Source organism: Homo sapiens, chromosome 1, assembly GCF_000001405.40.
Source record: "Homo sapiens chromosome 1, GRCh38.p14 Primary Assembly".
NCBI lineage: Eukaryota > Metazoa > Chordata > Mammalia > Primates > Hominidae > Homo > Homo sapiens.
The window spans coordinates 82,032,087-82,055,386 of NC_000001.11; positions in this window are offsets into that span (position 1 = coordinate 82,032,087).

Below are 23,300 nucleotides of genomic sequence, written 5' to 3' on the forward strand. Positions count from 1 at the left end.
CAACATACTGACATGGGGAATCAAAGGCAAAATAGCACTTAACATTGAAAGATTGAGCCACTGCAGCAAGACCAAACACAAAGCTCATTCTAGTAAACTGCTTTTTTTCTTTAAAAAAATATCGGGTTTTTTTTTAGAAGCTAATAAAGCCAGCCAAAGCTGTTAGCCTCATCCCACAGTCATTGCTCTGTAGCTTGGACTAGCCCTTCTTGTTGCCATGATAGGTCAAATTAATTCTTCATTTTTATGCACAGTCATGACCCTTCTCTTTGCTGGCCCATTGGGACATATATTAATCATCTTTTAGTAGCCCATTAAGTGTAGTCGTATCCTGTGGCAACTAGGTCTCTATTAATTTCAAAGTCTTTAGCTTTATGCAGCATATCCAATAATGCATTTTTCCATCTGTTCATGTAAAGAGCAAGATTGGAGATAATGGTCAAAACAGTGCTTTGTAAATTTTCATTAGATCACACATTTTTGGGGGGTGGAGGACAATCCTCTAAATTATATGAATTAACTCTATGGACTATATAATAGGATCATTCTCACAAGTAAATACATAGTTGTTAGTCCAATATCTGTGTACTGATACAAAGATGAATAAATATGCATACATTACATTCCTGTTTGGACCTCGATAGACCTGTTTCTAATAAATAACAGTCTTGCTGCATCTAGACAGGTCCCCTTTTCTGAAACCTGATGCCTGGAAGGAATAATGCTTAATATTCACAAATGGGATATGTTATATATTAAATTTGGGCATGGTAGCAAGAACTTGATTCTAAAAACTGGCATTTATTGAGCAGAATCATGCCTGGCATGTTATCTCTGGTAATTGTCACAATGAAAAGTAGGTATTCTTTTTCAAATTTTGAAATAAGAAAACTGAACTTCAGAATGGCAAATGATCTAACTGACTGAATTATGTGCCCAAGGTTATTCAGTTAATAAATTAAGACAAGCTGAAATTTTACTTTGTGGTCAAGAAATTTCTTAAAAGTGATATAATAGAAAAGAAAATTTAAACTGTATCTCATATATTAAAATACTTTAGGCTAGAGTTTGCTATTCAACAATTAGTCTGCTATCTCCAGGGTGGCAGGGGTTGTGTCCATTTTATTTATCACTATCCACCATGCCTATGCAGTTTCTGTCACAGAGCAGGTGAATAAATATACGTAGAATAAATGAGTGAGTGAAAACCATCCTTTATGGACATGCCTGTCACCTTAAAAATGACCACACATATAGATGTATCCTAGGCTGAGCTATGCCTTGATTTATCCTCTAGGGAGAAGTAAAGTTCATTTATTATGTTAGAAATATCAGAGCAAATCAATCTTCATAAATTATATGAAATATTGCTGCTCTTTTTGAGAATGCTCAACATGTTTCTGATGAATTGGACACTTGTACAATTTTGATTTCATGAATTCAGCAGATATTGCTTTGTTGCTATGCTGGACGGTAGATACATAAAAATGAATAAGATAGTGACTCTATCCTCAGTAACTGGCATAACATAATGGCAAACAATGGGATCAGAAAGAAAAAACCTTAGAAACCTGTGACCTTGGGCATATTACTTAGCTTATTTGAACTTGGTTTTCTCATTTCTTTTATTGACTGTTTACTTTCGGTGTGTTTTAGGAGTGTCTCTTATAAATAGCATATTGCTGGATTTAAAAAAATCCAGTATGATAATATTTATCTTTTACCTGAAGAGCTTAGGCAATTTATTTTGATATATTTGAACTGTTCCTACTTTCTTATTTTATGCCTTCTATTTGTCCCTCTTTTTCTGTTACTTTTTTCCTATGCCTTTTTTCACCTTATTTTATATTGGATGAGTTTCCAGTAGCCTCCACTGCCCCACCAATCTTTCTCCTCTGCTATGTTTAAATGTATCTCCTCTTGAGTTTTTAATAATATTCATTCTGACTGACGTGAGATGGTATCTCATTGTGGTTTTGATTTGCGTTTCTCTAAAGATCAGTAATATTGAGGTTTTTTTCATATGCTTCTTGGTTGCATGTATGTCTTCTTTTGAAAAGTGTCTGCTTACGTACTTTGCCCACTTTTCAATGGGGTTGTTTCAATGTTATTCCTATCAAACTACCAATGACATTCTTCACAGAACTAGAAAAAAACTATTTTAAAATTTGTATCAAACCAAAAAAGAACTTGAATAGCCAAGGCAATCCTAAGCAAAGAGAACAAAAATGGAGACATCATGTTACCTGACTTCAAACTATACTACAGGACTACAGTAGCCAAAACAGCATGGTGCTGATACAAAAACAGGCACAGAGACCAATGGAACAGAATAGAGAGCCCAGAAATAAGGCTGCACATCTCTGACCATCTCCTCTTCAATAAAGCTGACAAAAACAGGCAATGGGGAAAAGACTCCCTATTCAATAAATGGTGCTGAGATAAGTGGCTAGCCATATGCAGAAGACTGAAGCTTGATCTCTACCTTATACCATATACAAAAATTGACTCAAGATGGATTAAAGACTTAAATGTAAAACCCAAAAGTATAAAAACCCTGGAAGGCAGCCTAGGCAAGACCATCCTGGACATAGGAACAGGCAAGCGTTTCATGACAAAGACACCAAAAGCAAAAATTGACAAATGGGATCTAATTAAACCTAAGAGCTTCTACACAGCAAACGAAACCGTTAACCGAGTAAACAGACAACCTACAGAATGGGAGAAAATATTTGCAAACTATGCAACAGACAAAGGTCTAATGTCCAGCATCTACAAGGAACTTAAACAAATAAACATACAAGAGAAAATGTTGTTGAGAGTGGATTTGTTATAAAAGTGAGTGTGGCTCCCTTTTGTTCTCTCACCCACTCTTAACACTCCGTCTCATGTTTTCTCTCTCTCTCTCTCTTGCCATGTGATACCTTCTCCCACAAGCTGACTCAGCAAGAATGCCCTGAACAGATGCAGCCCCTTTACCTTGAACTTCCCAGCCTCCAAAACTATACGAAATAAATCTTTATTCTTTATAAATTGCCGTTTCAAGTATTCTGCTATAGGAATGCAAAAAGAACTAAGACACCCTCTCTACCCTTCTTTGGAAGGTATGTGCTTTATACCTATTTCTTCAGTGGTTTCACAATTATTTTAACTTGCAGACTTAACTAAGTCTAAACTTATTCATATTTTACTCATTGTTCCATGCAATAAAAGATTTTAGAAGTCTTTAACTAATTAACTTCCTTAACTGTAATGGTTAAATTTATGTTAATTTTTGAGTGGGTGCCCATTTTAAACATTGTTTCTGGGTGTGTCTGTGAGGGTGATTCTGGATGAGATTAGCATTGGAATCAGTGGACTCAGTAAATTTGATTGCCCACTGCCCTCCCCAATGTTGAGTGGGTATCATGCAATTTGTTGAGGGCATCAATAGAGCAAAATGTGGAGGAAGGAGGAATTCTCTCCTTTTTTTCTTGCTTCACCACTTGAGCTGGAACATCTCATCTCATCTTCTACCCATGGACTGTGCTTTATACTATCGGGTCCTCTGGTTCTCAGGCCTTTGAACTGAGATTGAATTATAGCAGGTTTTAAGATAACATTGTTTTGTTCAACATCATTTCATTATAACATTGATAAGGAAAAAAAAAACAATTCCATGCTGGGGCCACTGTCTGAATTTACATGCTCTCCCAATATCTAGGTGGGTTTTCCCTGGGTACTCTGGTTTCCCTCCATATTCCAAAGATGTGCATTCTAGGTTAATTGGCATGTCTAATTTGTCCCAGTAGGAGTGAGTGTGGGTGTGTATGAGTGTGCCCTGCCATGGAATGGCATCCTGTCCAGGGTTGGTTCTGCACTCTGAGTTGCTGGGATAGATTCTGGCTACCCACAATCCTGAACAGGAATAACTGAGTAAATAATTATCCTAGCTATTTTTTACTTATCTTTTTAAAGTGTATGTATAGTTTACATTTATTTCAATGTTTTATATTAGAGGTGTATTGGTCTTTCTTTAGAAGTTTGGTGATGTTTTTTGTGACCAGAATCATGCCATGAGAACTTAAATTTTATTTACATCAATTAGCTTATGGTAAAATTGGCTGTGTTGTAAGTCATTTCACTTAAAGTTGCAGCTTCCAAGACTGTCAATGGTGTTAAGTGAGAACTTACTGTACACCACTGGCTTTTCTGAGTTTCTAGCTTGCAGATGGCAGATCATGGGACTTCACAGCCTCCATAATTGTGAGAGCCAATTCCTCATTTTGTACAGATCTCCTATTTGTTCTGTTTCTCTGAAGATCTCATATACACCAACCTACATGCCTTTGTTTTGAAATACTTTAGATCTAGCTTATTTCTTAATGTCTTTACCTTCAGCAAATTAGTTATCATGATTGTTTTATATAGTATTGTATTAGCCTGGGCTCCCCAGAAAGCAGAGCCTGAGACAAAGGTTTATGAGCCAGTAATGTGGTTTATTTGAAAGTTTGTTAACTGAGGAATGGTGAAGTGAAATAGTGAAGAAAGGAGGGCCAGTGTAAAGGAGGATTGCTGAGTTAACCACCAATGGTGTGATTGGGTGTGCAGTTTTTTAGGACCATAGGATAAATCTTATCAAGTGAGTCCCACATTTTTTTCTTTCTCCAAGTGGGAGGTGCTACTGGCATGTAGTAAGTAGAAGCCAAGGATGCTGCTAAACACCTTACATTAAACAAGACAGCCCCCCACAAAAAAGAAAGTTCAATTTTTTTTTTTTTTTTGAGACAGAGTCTCGGACTATCACCCAGGCCGAGTGTAGTGGCAAAATCTTGGCTCACTGCAACCTGCACCTCCCAAGCTCAATTGATTCTCCTGCCTCAGCATCTCGGGTAACTGGGATTACAGGTTCCCACCACCATGCCCGGCTAATTTTTGTGTTTTTAGTAGAGATGGGATTTCACCATGTTGGCCAGGCTGGTCTCGAACTACTGACCTCAAGTGATCCACCTGCCTCGGCCTCCCAAAGTGCTGGGATTATAGGCGTGAGCCACCATGCCCGGCCTAAAAATCTTTTTAAAAAACGTAGTCTAAAATCAATTCTGAAGTTTTTTTACCCCAAAAGTTAGTGCTGAGATTGATAAACATAGTTTACACAAAAACAATTAATAGTATCCCCCAACTGAACCATCTGAAATACTCATCAACAGGTGACTAAATTGTGAGGTGTTCATGAATAACAATAAGCAATAAGAAGAAGCCAGCTACTAAAATAGGCAACAATATGAATGAATTTAAAAAATACCTTGCAGTGAAAAGTGAAATACATAAAAGACCACATCTGTTTGATTCCATTTATTTGAATGTTTAGGAAAGACAAAGCAGACAGCAGATCAGTGGTTGCGGGAAACTGAAGACAGAGGGTGGTGATTGGCTGCAAAGAGGCACGAGGTAACTTTTTGGAATGATGGAGATGCTTTGCATCTTGATTGTGGCGGTAGATACACTGCAGCATACTATGTCAAAAATTTTTTGAAATGTACCCTCAAAACGTATGCATCTTATTGTATATTAACTTTTCCTCAGTAAGTTGATTTAAAAGAAGAAAAGAGTCTCAGACTGAAGTGTTATTCACTGGCTCCCAGTTCCTGAGAGCAAAAAATTTTGGTTATCCCTTGGGACATTGATTACTTTCTAGTCTTGGGTTGAATAAGTGTGAGAATCCCCATGGCAGCAGGTGAGAGGTGCAGTGCTGTCAGGCTGCAGCTATGTGAAGTTGATTGAAATCTTTATACAATTGGTTTGTGCAGCTGTAGCTGGAATCAAAGATGTGGCAAAGGGAAGTTGAAGAGGTACACAGAAATGTCCAGTTTGGAGGTCAACATTCATGGATGTGTTTATATGTTTACAATACTTACATATTTACCATTAAAATGTTAATGTTTCTTCTTGGTTCTTGGATTATTTCCTTCTAAAATTTCCAAAATTGATGAAGCAACACAATTAACCAGATATAGGAAGCTTAAAAAATCCCAAGCAGGAAATTATAAGAATATTACACCTAGGCAATTCCTTTGCAGAAAATCCTTGGCAGTTTCCCTTAGTGAAGATCTTTTTTTGTAGTAAAAACCTCAGTTTTTGTTTATCTGAGAATGTCTATTTCTCCCCTACTCTGTTCTTGAGAGATTGCTTTCATATTTCAACATAAGTAAAACTCTATGCTGAAAGTTGTTTTCTCTCAAAACATTAAAGATACTATTTTACTATCTGTGACTTCTATTGGTGATATGTGATTTCAGCCTTCAATGTAACTGCCTTGGTTCTTTGTAGATGAGCTGTCATTTTTATCTGGCTGCATTTATGTTCTTTTTAATTTTGTATATTACCATTTCATTTTGATTTGTCTAGGTATGATATTCTTATAATTTTCTCTTTGAGATTTGTTGGCTTCCTGCATCTGATAATTATTATTGCTTCATCAGTTTTGGAAATTTCTCAGCCATTATGTCTTTGAATATTGTTGCTTTCCCATTCCTCCTTTTAATTCTATCTGGAACTTTGATTAGATTGTCTCATTTTTATTTCTGTCAATCTGTATTTATATTTTGTTTCTTTGTGCCTCTCAAGTGCATTCTTGATAATTTTTAAAATTTTATTTTCTGGTGCACTAATTCTTTCTTCAGTGGTATCTATTCTACTGTTTAATCCATCTATTGATTCCTTTACCTTAAATACTTATTTTTTTATTTATAGGAGTTCTATTTTGATTCTCTTTCACATGTGCTTGATCTTTGTAATCTGACATTCACTGCTAATATTTTCATGCTTTTTTATTGAAACAGATCAAAGTTATTCATTTTTATATTCTGTGTGTGACTATTAATTTCTGAAGTTCTAGCGGGTGTAGCTTATTTCTGTTGCTTCTCCCGATTCTCATTCATAGTCTCTTCTCTTTAGGTATGTTTTGTGATTTTTTTTTCATTGTGCATGGCCCATTTTTCATATGTCTTGTAGATTCTGTGCTATTCTCCAAGTATTAGGCTGCTTTTAATTTCTTTAGAGAAAATTTATATTTGTTTCTGGCAGTTACCTGTTGACATTATCCACTTTAGAACTTTATTCTAAATTAAATTATCCACTTCTGTATTTTATAATGATATATGTAACACACATTTAGATCACCAACCTCTCTGAGGGCTAGTTGCATTTATAGACTGTCAGGAGATATTTTTTATTTTAGCCATTCAGAACCAAGATTATTGCATGAAGGCTCTTTGCTGATCATTACCGCATAGCATATTCTGTTTTGAACTTAATCTTACATCAAGGGTAGAGACCTTTGATATTCCATTGAATGCAAGTATCTTCTACTAGATCCTTTACCTTGGATCACCTTGGATTTTATCTCCTAACTGCCGCTTGTACTGCATCTGTCAAAGATGAATCCCAAGATTTCCAAGGCTTGGCAGAAACTCTCAGGACAAAAGCCAAATTTGGAATCTACTTTACTCCAAGGTTCTGTGACTTTGCTTTTAGTTCTATGAATTCCTTAATATTGTGCCTACTCAATAATACATTTAAAATTATTTTGCATTTTATCTGGCATCTTGAGTGTCTCAATAGAAAAATTTAGATATCAGGAATATAGTCTTCATAACATTAGAAACAGTTCCTGACTCTCACTTTTTCCCTAAACTTATCTTTTAATCATTTTAATCATTTAAACTTAATTTGAGCACCCTCATTCTTCTCTTTCTGATTCCTTTTCTTCTCCAGGTTGTTATTTCCTTCATCTCTGATTCTATTTCCTGGCTCTTACTATGTTTTCCCTTCCCTGATAAAATAAAAATTGGAGAGAACACAATATCAACCATTTACAGTTCTTGGTGATAGATTGATTTATTACATTCTAATGTAGTTTTAATCTTTCAGTCACTTACCTTTTATCTTTTCCTGCCTTATGAAAAGAGGACTTTCTCTCCTTTTGTTTGCTGACATTTGAAATTCTTCTAATAGGGGACAAATTGCTTTTGGGCATAAATACTACTGAAACTCATTTTCCACGAGTCTATGCTGATGACAAATGTAATTTAATAGTCTAGTTATAATAATAGCCCCCTTCTATTGAACACCTGGTATTTGCCAGGCACCATGTTAAGTGCTTTATGTATATGAGCTGAAATTGTCACAACCACCTGGTAAGGTGAATATTATTGCCTTTATTCTATCAATGAGGAAAACTGAGGCTCCAGTTGGTAAGGTCATTTATCCAAGTTTACACAGTGAGTAAGTGAGATTCTTCTCTGGTTCCCAATCCTGTCTTTTCTTTCCACTGTCTTACACTGTTTTTTTTGACTAGCTTAACTTACAAAAACTGGCTCATGATCTCTCCCCTTGGATCACTGTTAAGTTTTATGTGGAAAAAATAAGAAGGTTTAGATCTAGTTGTATTTCTGTGAGACTTATTTCCAGTTTCCAGGTAGAGGCTGGAGGTTTCGAGATAGGACCATTGGGTCATATGTTTTTGCTTCCTGTATGCATTTCTTCTAACACCAGAAGCCTAGCTGATAAATTCTCTGTTTCAGACTTTCCCAAACCCAAATTTTACCCCTGCTTTAGCCATAAGACTCTCTGAATTATAATTTTAATTTTGGAAGCATTTGATATTATTTCAGTTAGTGTCAATGCTATGATTGGTTCCTTTACTAACGTTCTAGAATATATCCCTAATGCCTCATATATTTCAAGCTCTAGTAATAAAGTGTCTGACAATAAAGTATGCTGTTTGAGCATGGCATCTTTATTAATAGAGGTATGACTCTACTTCCCTCACAAAATCCTTTTTGGATGAAAGCTAAGGCAGATCAGCCTTAGCTAAAATTTGCATATTCTCCAGAGTGGTTCTGGAGCACTGCTTTTAAACTCAGTCATTGCCTTATGCTCTCTTTTCATTTCAGATAAATGAGAATCATACCTTGCTTCCAATCTCCCTAGATGAGGAGGGTGTTAAGTGGGTAGATAGGGAAGCCAATTAAATGCTTTGAATTCCTAAGACAAACTATTATAAGTCAAGCTATCATAATTATAAAGGAGTTTATTGCATTTGTAAAAAACAAATTTAAGTAGAGTAGCAATTGAGTTTGCCATGCAGAGCTTATAAAAATACAGTGTTAAACTGTTTGTATGTTAACATCTGTAGAGTGTAAAACACTGTAAGGTTGTAGCTTTCATGTTTTAAATGTGTAAAATAATGTCTTCTAAGTTGCTTATCTGATTAGCTATTTTCTGTGTTCTAATGAATAGTTCCTTGTGAGGGAGACTTATAGAAAAGTCAAAGGTGAGAAAGCCTGGAATTGGGCAACAGAAGAGCATTCTCTGGGTGACCATCCCCATGCCCCATTGTATACTTAGCAATCACATGCAGGAGTACTGGTATAAATCTCAGGCCAAGCAAAGATTTGCCAAAATGGCAAATTTGGTTCTACAGTGTTGTGGTTGTTCAAGATGTATGTTATTTATTAATTTGGGAAGAATTAATAATATGTTTATTCCATGCTCAGAGCTAGGGGTTCAAAGGTGATTAAGTAAAAATTGTTACCTGGAGAGAGATATGACACCAAATCACAATAGAGTGAGGGTAAGCTCATCACACAACAGTGGACACACCAGACTCATGAGAGGGAGGAAGGGAAAAATTCTATCCAGGGATATTAGGGAAGGTGAATTAGGGAAGGTGAACATTACTAGGAGTAAAAAATTACTGTAATACTAAAGTAAAATACACTGTTCCTTGGATGTTGTATAGTTTGGTGCTGCACTTAGCAATAAGCCCACATTTAAATTCCCTTAGCTTCAATTTGGGGAAAATAAAGCAAGGAAAACCAACTGCAACCAAAAACTGTAAAAGTTCAAACCCAACGCGTGTGTGTGTGTCTGTGTGTGTGTATGTGTGTAGGGAAGAGAAAAATTCCACTTTCTGTCCCCGCTCCTTCCTCCTCCAGCCCCCAAACCTCTCAAATCGGAGCTCAGTCTCCATAAAGAAGCTGAAACGTGACATTTTCTCTAAACAGACTCAGTAGCTAAACTATAAAATGAAGCTTCTTTATTGGCATAATTTCTCTGTTGTGTTTCCACAAGGCAGATCTTCTCATTATGATGGCATCCACCCACATCCAGGGGAAAAGGGAGCCCATGACTGTTCGCACACCTTTCTGATGGCTCTCTCTTCCTTTCCATTCCCTTGCTCAGTTATGCTTAGTTGTGGCGCTTTGAAGCCTTTCCCCACAACCAGACTTCATCAATTCAGTGGATCAGATGAGCTTTTCTCTCTTCAGGTGTCTGGCAGGAAGTGTATTAAGCTGGACTTTATGAGCAGTCTTTAAAAATGGCTTCTTTGGTGTGAGGATATTTCAAAGAGGAACCGAAATTGCTAATTTTAGCTCATTCCCAAGGGAACTTGTTTGCATGGCCCAGGGTGACAGCTTTAGATGTGTCTTTTAAAGCAGAAGGCAATGGTGCCATTTGCAGTCTGAGCACCTGGGCTCTGCCCCACTTGTCTTGTAACCTGCAGTGGGTTATTGCTCTCCCTTAGATAAAATTGACATAGCATCTTTTATTTCTGGCTGGAGTAGACCTGGTACAAGAAAGAACATTCCAGGATGTAAATAAACGTCCACTTATCTGATATTTATTTTCAGAGGGATCCTTGAGACAGTTCATTGCTTGTCTCTAGAGTCCCGGTGTCTTCTTTCAGCAAGGGCTGGGTGTTTGGATGAACTTTAAAGCTTCCTGATTTTTGATGTGGTGCTGAAACAGAAGCTTTGATGCTTTAAGCTGCTGACTGCAGAGGAATCTCAGGGTTTAAAGCTTATCAGCAGATGCACAGAACCCACAATATCCAGAAACATTTCCCTCCATAGTAGAAACACTGGGAATTGCATGGGTTCCATGATAGCAAAGGACAGGCTCAATTTGTTACACAGAGACCTCAAGAGCTGCTCCCTGACTCCCTAACCTGCCCCAGCACCCAGCATTTCCCTGCTCCTGCTCTCAGGTTTCCACCATACGGAACCCCAACCAGCCATGGGGAAGCATTTTATTTCTAGGCATCCTGTCCTTTGATTTTCTTTAGTCGGGATGCTCTTTTTTTTTTTCTTTGTCCTGGTGTGTTAGTTTCCTATGGCTGCTGCCACAAAATATAACAAGCTAGGTGGCTTATAACAACAGAAATATACTATTTTATAGTTCTGAGGGCTAGAAGTCCAAGATCAAAGTGTCTGCTCTCTCCAAAACCTGTAGGAAAATCCTTCCTTGTGTCTTCTTAGCTTTTGGAGGTTTGTGGGCAATCTTTGGCATTCTTTGGTTTGTAAATGGATCACTCCAATCCTCTGTCTTCACATGGTATTCTCCCTGTTTTCATATTGTCTTCCCTCTATGTGTGTCTGTCTCTGTGTCCAAACTTGCCCTTTTTACAAGGACACCAGCCCATTGGATAAGGGTCCACTCTAATGACCTTATTTCGACTTGATTTTCTCCATAAACACCTTAAAATAAGGCCAAATTCTGAGATACTGGGGGCTAAGACTCCAATATATCTTTTGTAGGAGGACGTTAAACTCTTAACACCTGGCTAGTATCTTCTGAGGACTCAGCTTCTAAGCAGTCTTTGTGTTCCCCACAATGAGATTAAATACCATTTCTGTGAATTTCTTTAGCACTTGGTACTTACCTTTTAATGAGACTTTATATATTATATTGTCTCCTTAATTGATTGTCTTCCACAATCAATGGTAAACTTTTGAAGCCAAAGACTGGGCTTTGCCTCCCTAAAAGTTACCACAGTGCCTAGCACTTAGGGAGTACTCACTGAACCAGCAAGATAGGAAGTGAGGCAAAAAATTTCCACACATCTGATTTGCAAAAGGTTTAGCATTTTCAGTGATATTCAATAGGAAACAAGAAAACAGTCTGTCAATTTACTAAATAGATGATTCGATCTGAAAATGACAAAATGGCTATACTTTGCCTCAATAAGGAGAATTTACAATGAGTCAAAATCATATTTGAGAAGTGAGGAGGGTGTTTTTAGCCTTTTCACAGCCTCTTTTAGAGAAGATGAATTGGACAGGGCTCTGGGACAAGTGTCTCTGTAATAATGGGGTGTGTGAGAATTGAGTGCTGTTGAGGTGATTAGAGCATGGGGTGGCTGGTTCGAACAGCTGGCTTCTATTCCTGACTCACCCTGGATTCACTGTGACCTCTGGCAAATCACTTACCTTCTGAGGCTCTTTTAAGTGAGCTTTAAAATAAGGATGGCAATTGCGATCATGTAAACATATGGAATGTGATGAGGACTAATTTTAAGATAAGCGTTTAAAGAGATTTTCATGAAAGCTATTATTTACTTTAAGTGTTGTGAACATTACAAACTGGCAAACAGGCCATGTTAGCTAAAACAAAGAAAGATAAACTAATTCAAATTAGTAGACTCAACCTCATTAAGTTTGGATACAAATATCTTTTTTCTCTGGTAAATAAAGCCAGATGTATAGAAAGCAAACTGCTTTGTAAAAATAAATCATGATTCATTTCAACTTTTTTTTCCTTGATCCATTTTGTTTCTTTCTATAGAGAGTTAACTGGGAAGTTGATCTTTGGAGAGAGGTTGGATATGAACCAAAATAGCAGAAGGAGAGAGTGTAAGGGAAGTAGAGTTGACTTCACCAGTCCTTGGAGGGTTTTGAAAGAGAAAATAGAACTAGAGCCTACACTCTATTATCTACATGAATTGCAGAGGAAAGTAGCAGAGCAGCTCCAGAATGTCCATTTGTGGGGCTTAATGGTGGTGGTATTGTTGGAATGGGTGCTGGTGGCAAAGATGCTTGAAGTTACACCTGCAGAGCAATTTATTTTAAATTATAAAATTAAAGTTAGATATTTCAAAGGATGGTGGGACAGAACTGATTGAGTTACAGCCTAAAACCTCCAGTTTCGCTCTTACACACCCTTAGCTGCCACTGGGTACTAGGGACAATGAAAGCAAATCTGTGAAGCAGAAAGGGACAACTATAGATGCAGACACATCCCAGCTGAGAATGATGCCCCCTCCTTTATTTTAGAGCATTAATTCTGAAGGAAATACATAACACACTTGGATTCCTGAAACAGGTTTCTGATTTCCTCTGAAACCACAAGACTAGTCAATTGATCCATACATCCAGATGTAGATGTTGACCAACTATTGTTTTCTCTACAGTGTGTTAAGTGGTGATGTGGGGCTACTCAGAAAAGGGAAGGGTGGGAAAGTACATGACATTGTCCCTGCAGCCAAACTGTTTATGGTTTGGCTAGTGAGGCCAGCTGTGCTGGAAAGAAACAATTGGATGATAATACAAGAAATGTATATTCTATGATACAAAATGCTGTGGCTGGCTATGAAAGTAGAGACATTTAGGGATAGAAGTATTTAGTATTTAAGGCTATTATGGAAAATATGAGACTTCAGCTGGACCTTGAGAGAGATTTAAGTTAGCAGAGAGGAGGAATAAGCCAGAAATGGCAAATATGTATATCTGCACACTGTCTCTTCCTTTGACCGTGGCAGACGTTATTAATCAATCACTCTGGAACAGATTTGTCTTTCCTCAGAGAACTACCCACGTCCTGCTTTCTGGGATTTATTTAAGTCACTGGCTTATTTCCCTATTTAACTACAGACTCCTCTAGTGTTCAGGTAAGCCTTGTTTACTTCTGTACCTACTGAGTTTGGCACATAGAAGAGGTTCACTGTGGCAGCCACAGAGGTGCACTGCTGGATCTTGCTTCAAGAAAGAACTTCTCATTCAGCTGCAAGGAATGCAGTGAGCTGAGAGTCTCTTTGGGGGATCTGCTGCTGCAGTCTTTGAGCCAAGGTCATGCTCTTCCAGGCAGCCCCCAGCCAATGACTGAGCACGGTGGGGGAAACTAGGGTGTGGCCATTTGCACCATATGCGGGACACCTCTAAAGGGCAGTCTAATCTGGGGCTCCCCATTGGGTTGGATGAGTATTTGCCAGATGCGCATTACAGTCTGAGACTCTCCCTGCCCAGTCCTGCCTCCTCTTCCTTTTTCACAAGTGTGACCTCCCAGTTAACCTCTCATATTCCTAGCTGGGTTTCCATGTCTGCCTCCAGGTCACATTCCTAGCTGGGTTTCCATGTCTGCTTCCAGGTCACATTCCTAGCTGGGTTTCCATGTCTGCTTCCAGGTCACATTCCTAGCTGGGTTTCCATGTCTGCTTCCAGGTCACATTCCTAGCTGGGTTTCCATGTCTGCTTCCAGGTCACATTCCTAGCTGGGTTTCCATGTCTGCTTCCAGGTCACATTCCTAGCTGGGTTTCCATGTCTGCTTCCAGGAGGACTTGGCATTGACTTAGCAAAAGTTTATGGGATTGAATGGAGTTAGTGATAAGTTTTCGTCGGGTCATTCATTCCATGATGTCTACTTCCAGGTTGTGACTTCATTCTTTTATTCTACAAGCATCCTGAGCACTGACAAAGTTTTGGGCTCTGAGATAGATGTTGGAAAGTCAAAGATGAATAAGGCTGATCCTCAACTTCCACAAGATACACTCACAGACATAGATGTAGAAAATGAGACTCGAGAGACGAGCAACTCGTTCAAGGCTTTCTTAAGTGGCTAACATGTTTAGAATCCAAAAAAGGGTTTCGGTTCCAAAGTATGAATCCTTTCCACACTGATTTTCTGCTCTGTAACATTTGCAGTAGAACCCGTGTAGTTAAACACACTAGCGTTCACATGACTTGGTCCTGGTTTCGTATTCTTATAGTTCAGTGTTAGTGGTCTTTGGAACACTAACCACTCAAGTGTCCTTCATGGAATGAGCATGCTAAATATATTAAGAGAGGTTTCTTGGCTGGGGTTTGGGGGAGTCTTTTATATGCTAAGGAACATTGTGCATTTGCAAGAACAGGTCGAGTAGACCGTATTATCCGAAGTTACATGGTGTAAGAATTATTTCACAGAATATCTTTGAGGAATGCTCTTCTACCCAGTTAAATTAAATGATAGAATATTATTTACTACAACATCCATTCAAATTTTTCTATCTGCTAGTCCCTGGAATCCTGTGAAGGAAGCACTCTTATTAACCCTATTTTTCCGATGAGGAATCTGAGGCACAGAGGTTGGATAATTTATCCCAAGCTACACAGATGGGAAGTGGTACCATGCCCTGTCTCATTCGCCTGCACTCCCCCACCTCCCATCGTCTTTTATGTGCTGAAACCTTTGAGCCTGCCCCTTAATTCACTAAGGGTGTATTCTCGGTGCATGTGAAAGAATGAAAATTGCCTGGCTCATCCACAGGGACCATGGATTCTGTGCAGTTCAGTGAGATGTATGCACAAAAACCTGAAAAGAGGCCAGGCGCGCTGGCTCACGCCTGTAATCCCAGCACTTTGGCAGGCCGAGGAGGGCGGATCACGAGGTCAGGAGATCCAGACCATCCTGGCTAACACAGTGAAACCCCGTCTGTACTAAATAATAATAATAATAATAATAATAATAATAATAATACAAAAAATTAGCCAGGCATGGTGGTGGGCACCTGTAGTCCCAGCTACTGGGGAGGCTGAGGCAGGAGAATGGCCTGAACCTGGGAGGCGGAGCTTGCAGTGAGCCGAGATCGCGCCACTGCACTCCAGCCTGGGCAAGACTCTGTCTCAGAAAAAAAAAAAAAAAAAAAAAAAAAAGCCTGAAAAGAAGACTGGTTTGAATGGTGTTTGGTGGAGGGATAAGTTGGCCCAGCATTAATGCTTCCCTCTGGCAATCTGGCAAAGAGGGCTTCTCTCTTTAGAGGGCATACCTGGGGCTAACTCTTCCCTTTCACAGTGCCCCTTCATCTCCCTTTTTATACTCTCTTCTGTCTTCAAAAGCCTCAGGACCTGTCCCCCACACCCCAAAACGTACCATCAGATGGAAGCAGACAGAATATAAGAGCAAGGGCTTTACAATCAGACACCTGGATTTAGATCTTCCCCTTATCACTTGCCAATTGTTCAAGTTGCTTAATCTTTCTAAGCCTCAGTTTTCACTTGAGTAACATGGGGCCATAAAAAAGGTCAACATTATAAGGTTATGGTAATGATTCAAGAAAATAATATATGTAATGCACTTAGTACATAGTGCACACTTAATAAATGGTGTTGGCTGTGAAGGCTTCTCTCTCTAGCTGTTTCTGAAATTAGATAGTGACTTCTTAAACTGAATATCCTTCCAAATGCAAGGAGAGAAAAATCTAATTTCAGGCACTGTGCAAGTAATAGGAAAAGGAGAAAATATATTGCAAAAGGGATGGTGGCCTATAGACCCTCCCCCAAACATAGCCTCTAAAGCCAGGACTGCCGCAGATCACTCTCACCTGTAAAAGAGACTGTGTCTTTAGTTTATCTGTGATGACTTCAGGCTCCGCAGTACCAGGTAATCCTCATTCTTAGTGGGTTTGTTGGCCATTGGCCTGTGTTTTCTACTGTCCCCTCAATACCTAGCTGATAATTTGAGTCTTTGAAGAGGCAGACAATGAGAGTTTTAGTTGGCTCTAATGTCTATTCTGTGGCTTTATTTGCCTCTTTCCCAGAGATTGAGCATTTGTGTCTACGGGCATAAGATCGATTACCACATTGTGCCGTGGAAATGAAAGGGAAACATTCTTTCTTTCCTCTCTGGCTCTGCCTGGCATTGAGTGCCCTCCTTTGCTTAGCAAATGGCCTAATCCGAGCGGTTGCATGGCCTGAACGCGTGGACACAGCAACCGTAATTGCACACTTATCTCAGACAAAAAAATAAATGAAGTTGCCATCTAATTTATTCAGGTGGCTCTTAAAATGTGGCATTTCATGTAATGATTTGATTTCTAGGAACTAAAAAGTAACTATGCATGCTTTGTTAGGAAAATTACTTCAGCACAAAATGAGGCTGCTTTTTTTTATTTTCCCCAGCCACAGTAACTAATAGCTTCAGATATAAGATAAAAATAAGGTATTTTGTAATTAATATTTTAATTTACTAAGAAGGGAGCTAAATGGTGACTAGACTTCTCTTCCCCTTGATAATAATGAACCCAGGCAATTTCAAATGAAGAAGAGCAGCCAAGAGTTTAATACCTTTGATTAAGAACGTGTTTCCACAGTGGCTATTATGTTCCTATTTAAAAGAGCAAAACAAAACTCAGGCTTATTTTATTTTGGAACTGCAGGGGGTCTTATGGCATCAAAAGAGGACAAGAAAATGTTTAGAGGTAATTAAAAGCAATTTGCCTCATCAGGCCTTTTTTTCTCCTCCTTTTTTCTCTACTCCTCTTTCTCTCCACAGTACTTGCTAATTGCCACTTCAGTGACCTGAGAATTTTTTTTTTTTTTCCTGATGTAACTTGCCTATTTGGCTGTTGCTCACACTTATAATTGACTGCATAAATCAATGAATCTCCATTAGTTCATTTTAAAAACAGAACATTTATAAGACTCCCTGTCTTTAAGGAGAGCTAAAGGCAAGAAACTAACAAGCCTGAGTACTAACCGTATACCAGGTGCTTTACACATGCTGATGTATTTCATCTCCGAAAGAATGCCATGAAGTCCCTATAATAGAACTGGGAACAGGTGCAGTTTGCTTGGGGTCCCACTGCGTAGGGTGAGATTAGAACTCCAAACTTTGTTTTCCCTTTATTACCTCTTTTCCTTAAGTCTTCTCTGTCTCTTTATTCATTTTTTTAAAGTTTCCATTTATAATTTTCATTCGTTCCTTTTATTTGAATGCCCCTGGCATGCATTTAAGCTGATAATATTTAGGTTGCAAAAAGCGGACTTGGAGACTCTCAGAAAAGGCACTGTGAAAAGTCATTCACAGCAGCTTCCCCAGGGACTGAGAAAACTCAGTCACCTCTAGGAAATTTTTAGCTAAAGTTTTAAAATAATAGAACTTGGGGTAGGAACTTAGCACCTGAAATGGAAGGTGTTTTAATTCGACATCATGTTTTCAACCCTGGAAATTGATAATAAATGGCATCACACTCTCCGATAAAGTGACCTCCTGGGAAAAGGAGTTGTCTAGAAACTTTTGACCTCAAGGTTTACACAGGTTTTCTTTAAACTCAGGTCAATTGAACAGCATGGACTAAAGTGTCGCATGCTGAGTAAGTGTAGGAAAGTGATGCTGAATTAAATAAAAGATTAAATTGTGTATTTTGATAGAGAAACCCGCAATGACCATACGTTTGGAATAGGGTGGTTTTCCTGCTGGCTTGCAAGAGGGGTGGCACAGGAGATAATGGGGACAAAGAACAATAGTTGCACATTAATTCTTCTGCTAGATAGAATATAGAAAAATAAGGGAAAACATCTCAATCTGATCAAATATACGAACCTTAGAGAAGTAAGAAGTAGCTTTATTCTCCCTTTTGGGTTTGCTTTCTACTAAACTCCTTACTAATCCCAAAATCGCAACACATACACACTCCCAACCAATGTGTGCCCAGAGTTTGGGTTTTCAACTTTTGTTTTTATAGCTTTGAGTTTTAACTTCATTTTACGTGCAGAAAGAGCCAAATATTTGCATGTAAAGCACATTTGGTCCAACTTCTAATTTCAAGAGAATTTAAAACAATATTAGAGATAAAGAAAGATTTTGGAGAGTAAAAGAGATGAGGATTAGCGGAACATCCCGAGAACGTCCTGACAGTCAGCTTAACCTGCCCCTCAGCTTCTAAGGATGAGGAGGAAGGACGTAACTTTTAGCCTGAACATTCTCAAAAAGGGAGAAAGCTGAGTAAACTAGTTTTTAGTTCTATTTCTCCACCACCCTTTGTTCTGTGTCCTGGGAGATGTTTGCAATCCCTAGAAATCTGTCATTTTATATCCTAGGAACTCTACTTAGATTTTGACTACTGATCAAAATTGATCCATCCTATTTGGAGAAAACATTCAAGAACTTGGAATTAGTCAGAGTTGAAAATGAGCCTGTGGATTGAGAAGGTAAATACTTTTGAATGATAAACTGCAAGTGAAATACAAAATTCTAAGTTTGGGTTAATTTTGAGATCACAAGCATCCTACATATGACATGGTTTTGGATAAAAGTATTTTTATGCCGAGAGGTGGATGCAGTCCTGTGGACTGAATATTTTCTGTTTCTTCAGCCTGATCTCCTGTGATTCTCCTCCTCACTCACTTGGATCCAACCACATGGGCCATCTTCCTGCTTCTCTAACCTGCTAGGCTCCTTCAGACCCAGCCCTGGCACCCATGGTGCCTTCAGTCTACAACACTTCTCCTGGATCTCTACAGCTTCCTTTTGGGGCTAATTACTGCTCATTTGTCAGACTACTAATTGTTTCTTGTTTTGTTCTCATACCACCTTGTATGTTTCTTTATAGGACATATAACCATAATTGAAAATTATTTGTGTCATTCCTTCTTTAATATCAGCCTCTTTCAGTAGATTATAAGAATCATGAGGGTAGAGGTTGTAATTTATCTTGTTTACCATTATTTGGTAGTTGTAAGCTGTAGCCAGTCCTTGATAAATCGTTATATGAATGAGTGTATTACTAGTACTGAGGCTTCAAAAATAGGAGAAATATTTAACTGCCTGAGGCAACTGAAGTGAAAGTCACATCTTCATATTGAGGATGAAATAGCTGCAGGATTCTAAGTGCTAAAAACAAAGGAAAATGGACGTTGAATACACATTGAGTAGTGAGGAGTGCTGGAGAGATAGAAAATAAGCAACATTGACTATCTGATATTTAGGTAGAGAACAAAGATTGAGGTTTACCTGGGATCATTGCATACAGGTAACAGAAGGGGATTGTAGATAGAATCAGTTTAATGGTACCTTATAGAAAGTCCCTAGTATCAAACACGCTATCCGTGGTAAGACAAGTCTGTCAGTAATTTCCTGACCTTCCGACAAAGGCTGGGAGCTATGGACTCAGTGTTGTCTACTCACATGCACAGAATGCAATATTTCTCATCCTTTGGGTTTCTGGGATACCTGACGTTTACACCCTTCTCTGGGAAGGTTGCTCTGAGTGATGTGCCTTTCCTCTGTAACCCCATAGTGGCCTCTATAATTATCATTACATATATTTACCTATTTGTTTCCTCTGCTAGACTGCAGGCTTCTTAATGGTAGTGATTTTTTCAATTGCCTATAAATTCCCATGACTAATTTAATTCCTAGCATGACACACCTGATCGCCAAACTTATTTGAACTCATTTTAATTAAATACTTGTTTCATTTTTCAAAGTAAATAAATTGGTTGGAAAATGGTTGAGTTCATGTAAGGGGTGCCTAGCAGAGTAGATTATACAGTTAAAACTTAATATGTTTTGTTGTTTAACCAATCTCAGTCATAGATACTTTGGTAGATTGATTACAAAAATCACCCAGTTGTTCAGATCTCCCTGTATTTACGTCCCCCACAAGGTATCTTTGCAGGATCTCCCATCAAGAGATGGAGTCTCTCTACCCAATCCTTAAGTCTTGGCTGGACTTAGAATTTACTTTAGTCACAAGAATGTGACAGAAATGGTGGTGTGCCAGTTGCAAATCTAGATCTTTAAAATTCTAGTTACACTGTGAGCAAGTCTAGACAGCCATAGCCATTCTAGCTGAGCTGAGGTCATCCTAGACCAACCAGTTCCCAGCTGACCTGATAGCTGACCACAGATGTGTTGATTGAGCCCAGCTGGGACCAGAACTACCCAGTTACACTCAGCCCAATTTGCTGACCTGCAGAATTGTGAGCTGAACGATTGACTGTTTTTTTGAGTCATTACACTTTGTAATGTAATGTAGCAAAAGTTAATTGTTTCTAATATGCTATTTTTAATTTGCTTAGTTAAAATAGCTGACAGTATATTTTGCCAAAAATAAAGGTGATGAGATCTGACCCAAGCATAGTACATCCCTTGGAGAGTCCTATATGGAATTACCTTGGAAGTAGAGGACTTGAGACATGAGAAAATTTGAATATTTCCTTGAGCGACAAAGGAAAACATCTTTCTTAGAAAATAAACAATAGGCCGGGTGTGGTGGCTCACGCCCTTAATCCCAGCACTTTGCTAAACTGAGGTAGGCAGATCACTTGAACTCAGGAGTTCGAGACCAGCCCGGACAACATGGTGAAACCTTGTCTCTACTAAAAAATACAAAAATTAGCTGGGCGTGGTGGCACATGCCTGTAATCCCAGCTACTCGGGAGGCCAAGGTATGAAAATTGCTTGAACCCAGGAGGTGGAAGTTGTAGTGAGCTGAGATCTCACGACTGCACTCCAGCCTGGGCAACAGAGCGAGGCTGTTTCAAAATAAAATAAGATAAAATAAAAATAATAATAATAAAATAAAAATAAAGAGTGGCTAATAAATAAGCAGACTGTATGAGGCATCTCAAGAAGAGTGCAAGCTTCCTCAAAATTGGAGGTGATTTCTGAGGGCCAATCAAACATAAAGGTGAGATGACTTGATATCTTGGTACACAAGATAAGCTTCTGTTTTTCTGGTTTTTTTTTTGTTGTTGTTTGTTTTTTTGACAGAGTCTCGCCCTGTCACCCAGGCTGGAGTGCAATGGCGTGATCTCAGCTCACTGCAAGCTCTGCCTCCCGGGTTCACGCCATTCTCCTGCCTCAGCTTCCCAAGCAGCTGGGAATACAGGCGCCCACCACCATACCTGGCTAATTTTTTGTACTTTTTAGTAGAGACGGGGTTTCACCGTGTTAGCCAGGATGGTCTCGATCTCCTGACCTTGTGATGTGCCAGCCTTGGCCTCCCAAAGTGCTGGGATTACAGGCATAAGCCACCGCGCCCGGCCAAGATAAGCTTCTTATACAATGGTTGGTAAGAGTCTGCATGAGTTACTGACAATTACAATCTATCAGTATTTGAGAAGAATAAACATCATAAACAAATAATTATAAGCCATGAAATAAAAATCAAAAGTAATTTCAAGAAAAGAGAATTAAGGAGCAAGATCTGTAAGGATGAAGAATGTAAATAGCCCTTCTGCTGCAAAGTGTGGAGATCTGAATTTGCTTTCTACCATCACTACTTTTTGGTTTGAAGAAAGTTACTGAGCCTTAGGTTCTTCAGGTGGAAATTGGGTTACTATAACTCTGTTTTACTGAGAAAATCATTTAAGATAATGGGCAGGAAAGCTAGAGAGCTGACACAATGACTCTTAATATCTAAGTTTGACATTAGAATACGAGTGGTGAGAGAGGGCATCTTGTTTTCTGCTGGTTTTCAAAATAAATGTTTCCAGCTTTTGCCTATTCAATATGATATTGTCTGTGGGCTTGTCATAAATAGCTCTTATTATTTTGAGATATGTTCCATCAATACCTAGTTTATTGAGAGTTTTTAACATGAAGGGATGTTGAACCCAAAGGCCTTTTCTGCATCTATTGAAATAATCTTGTGGTTTTTGTCCTTGGTTCTGTTTATGTGATGGATTAAGTTTATTGATTTGTGTATGTTGAACCAGCCTTGAATACCAGGGATGAAGCCAACTTGATCGTGGTGGATAAGCTTTTTGATGTGCTGTTGGATTTGGTTTGCCAGTATTTTACTGAGGATTTTCACATCGATGTTCATCAGGGATACTGGCCTGAAGTTTTCTTTTTTTGTTGTGTCTCTGCCACGTTTTGGTATCAGGATGATGCTGGCCTCATAGAAGGAGTTAGGGAGGAGTCCCTCCATTTCAATTGTTTGGAATAGTTTCAGAAGGAATGGTATCAGCTCCTCTTTGTACCTCTGGTATAATTCGGCTATGAATCCGTCTGGTCCTGGACTTTTTTTGGTTGGTAGGCTATTTATTAATGCCACAATTTCAGAACTTGTTATTGGTCTATTCAGGGGTTCGACTTCTTCCTGGTTTCGTCTTGGGAGGCTGTATGTGTCCAGGAATTTATCAATTTTTTCTAGATTTTCTAATTTATTTGCGTTGAGGTGTTTATAGTATTCTCTGATGGTAGTTTGTATTTCTGTGGGGTCAGTGATTTATCATTTTTTAATTGTGTCTATTTGATTCTTCTATCTTTTCTTCTTTATTAGTCTAGCTAGCAGTCTATCTATTTTGTTAATTTTTTCAAAAAAACACCTCCTGGATTTGTTTATTTTTTTGAAGGGTTTTTTGTGTCTCTGTCTCCTTTAGTTCTGCTCTGATCTTAGTTATTTCTTGTCTTCTGCTAGCTTTTGAATTTGTTTGCTCTTGCTTTTCTAGTTCTTTTAATTTTGATATTAGGGTGTCGATTTGAGATCTTT